The sequence below is a fragment of the Homo sapiens genome, chromosome 1 (genome assembly GCF_000001405.40).
Source record: "Homo sapiens chromosome 1, GRCh38.p14 Primary Assembly".
In the NCBI taxonomy this organism is placed as follows: domain Eukaryota; kingdom Metazoa; phylum Chordata; class Mammalia; order Primates; family Hominidae; genus Homo; species Homo sapiens.
Window position 1 is genome coordinate 201,480,449 of NC_000001.11, and position 3,081 is coordinate 201,483,529.

The 3,081-nt window shown below is 57.9% G+C and overlaps 2 annotated features.

The window, feature by feature from the left end:
• Window positions 70-159: a silencer, noted in NCBI's record as "silent region_1691". NCBI's record gives its function as "represses an Ori minimal core promoter by ATAC-STARR-seq in GM12878 lymphoblastoid cells {active_cell/tissue: GM12878}" and the evidence as "EXISTENCE:reporter gene assay evidence [ECO:0000049][PMID:35858748]".
• Window positions 2,540-2,869: an enhancer, noted in NCBI's record as "active region_2320". NCBI's record gives its function as "activates an Ori minimal core promoter by ATAC-STARR-seq in GM12878 lymphoblastoid cells {active_cell/tissue: GM12878}" and the evidence as "EXISTENCE:reporter gene assay evidence [ECO:0000049][PMID:35858748]".

The window sequence follows — 3,081 nt, forward strand, 5'->3', positions numbered from 1 at the left end:
GACCTGTTCTGGATGACTCTAGGGGACAGAAATAGGAAGTTCCAGGAAGTCCTCTCTAATCATTAGAACCGTTCAGAGGCAGCCCCAGCTGCGGGGCGGGGCGGGGCGGGGCGGGGCGGGGCGGGGCGCGGAGCTGTTGGCAGCTAAGTGGTTGAGGTTGAGCGGCCGGGTGGAGGCCGGCACCTACTAGGAGGCTGGGCTGGTCCGCAGGTTCTCAAGCCCGGCTGAGCCCGGGCAAGCGTCAGAGAATCACCAGAGCAGCTTGTCGAATACAGATTCCCAGGCCCCACCCAGGCCAACCGAATCAGAATCTCTAGGGGTGGGGCTGGGAATCCATTTTTAAAGGCTTCCCCAATGATTCTCAGAATAAAGGTTGGGCTTGGAGGCGGGGCCGGGGCTGGGCGTGGCACGGAGGCGAGGCGCGGGGAGGGCCGGACCTTCCAGTTGTTAATCCCTGTGTTCCTCACTCCGCCACACTCACCTCCACTGATCTAAGTCGGGGGATCGTTCCTCGCTGGGTGCCCCCCTCACTTGATCTTAGCCAAAAGGTCGAGAAGCGATTGGGAGCCCCTCTCGAATAATTTCTGTGGCCCTTGATTCAGGGATCACTCCCACACTTAATAGCAGCTCTAACGCCCCCCAACCCCCGCTACCCAAGATCTCTATCCTCACCCTCCAGTCGGCCTCGTGGTCTTCCTGTCCCTCCCCAGCCTCTCAGGTGACCCGGACAATTTGCTAAGGCTCTTGGAGAAGGGCAGCCCGAGGAGGCTGGGCCTGCCGCCCATCGGGAGCGGCAGCTATTTTCCATCACATCCTAAAAAGCCCAGGGCTCTACCGCTCCTGCAGCTGGGCATAGCTCCCACCAAACACATTCTCCCGAGGTCGCCCTGGACGCCTTGCTCGGAGATGACAGAAACGAGAAAAGAAATACCTAAGTGGACATAAAGACCTAGCTCACCCTGGCCGGGTGCGGTGGCTCATGCCTGTAATCCCAGCACTTTGGGAGGCCGAGGTGGGCAGATCACCTGAGGTCGGGAGTTCTAGGCCAACTAGCTTGACCAACATGGAGAAACCCCGTCTCTACCAAAAAAATACAAAAATTAGCCGGGCGGGGTGGCTTATGCCTGTAATCCCAGCCACTCAGAGGCTGAGCCAGGAGAATCGCTTGAACCCGGGAGGCGGAGGTTGCGTTGAGCCGAGATCGCACCATTGCACTCCAGCGTGGGCAACAAGAGGAAAACTCTGTCTCAAAAAAAAGAGTCCTTGCTCACTCTTTGGTGAGGGTTTGGTATTCCACAGGGCCCCGAAGCGCGACAGCCCTCCAAGGAGAAGTGAGCGTCGGGGATTAGACGCGTGCGCTGTCTTGCGCAGGAGCTGAGTCCTCAGGGTCCACAGAGAGAGGAGGAGGGCGTGGGGTGCGCGGAAACGCAGCGCCTGCCTTTTGCCCTGACCCCACAGCACCACCTGGTGTCTCCCGGGACGGCGCAAGCGCCGCGCTTGCAGATGCTGGGCCCCCTCCCCGTCAGCCGACCCTCCTTCCCCAAGTGCCTCCCCTGCCTGGTGTTCCTCCTTCCTTGATGCGCCCCTCTGGCTGGCCCTTCACCGTCCAGTGAGTGCTTCCTGGCCTGGCCGCAGCTGGCTTACAGCCTACTGCCTTTACCCAGGTCTTATTCCCAGGAGGTGCGTCAGGGCCCCTTGCCCACCGTGGGGCTGCACTGAAAAACAGTGGCCCGGGAGCAAGACAGCTAGTGGTGCAAGGCACAGGACGGTCGCCGACAGGCCCTCCCGATCAGCCAGCAGAGGGCAGCCTCTCTCCAGCTTTGGGCCCCAAAGGCTCCCATCCGGGCCACTCCTGTAGGCCCCTCCCAGACAGAAGGGTCCACCTGGGTGTGTGGAACCAGCCGTCCTCCTGGCTGCGGAAACTTGTCCGGAGCACCTTTCGTGGGCCACCCCCTGTGCTGGAGCCAGAGGGGTTACCAAGATGGAGCCCTTGACCCCGATTGCAGAACTCCCAGCCAGAGCCCACCCTGGGCTGGCATTCCCTGAACTCCTCCAGCTCTTCTCCCGGTCATCTTGTACTTTTCTATTGCTCTGCACCATTGATGGGTGTTATGCATGCATAGGTGCCTTTCTCAGAGTCCAGGAGGGGCCTCTGTCAAGGCCACTGTTGGAGCTGGTCATCTGGGAAATAGGTACACGAGGCCTTGTTGTTATTAAAGCATCTGCTTTTGTTTTGAAAACTTAGTGTGGGCACATTTTCGAGAAGGGCTGAAGCAAAGCAGCACAGCCCCAACGCATCAGGCAGGTATGCCTAAGATGAAGGATGCCGCAACCCCTCACATGAACCTATTTCCAAAAAAAAATGTGGCCTTCCACGGACTTGCTGTGGGGGCCCTAACAGCACAGCAGGCTGAGCCAGGCCCCTCCACCACACCCCTCCTAGGTAGAAGTGAGCTTTCTAGATTTGACGTGAAAGTTCCTCTGGTTGAGTTTCCCTCTTAGGCTGGGGCTTTCCGAGCTGGGAGAAGTTCTGAGCACAGTTTTGGGGCCTAGCTGAGCCCCTCCAAGTCCAAAGTCCATGCAATTCCCAGGCCCAGATTTGGGGGTGGAGACCAGACAGGACAAGCCAGTGGTGTTTGGCTGGTCGGGTCACTTCAGACAGTGTGGTTCAGTTGGCATTGATACTGAGAAGTAATTGGTCCTTAGAAAAAGCAGGAACGAATCCACTTTGATTCATTTCCACCAGGCTGCCTGCTTTTTTTTTGAGACAGAGTTTCACATTTGTTGCCTAGGCTGGAGTACAATGGTGTGATCTCAGCTCACTGCAACCTCTGCCTCCCGGGTTCAAGCGATTCTCCTGCCTCAGCCTCCCAAGTAGCTGGGATTACAGGCACCCACCACCATGCCTGGCTCATTTTTTGTATTTTTAGTTGAGTCAGAATTTCACCATGTTAGCCAGGCTGGTCTCAAACTCCTGACCTCAGGTGATCCGCCTGCCTCGGCCTCCCAAAGCCCCTGCTAATTTGATTGCTCCCATTGAGTTCCCTCCCAGCTCCACAGACACAGGATTGGACACCAGAG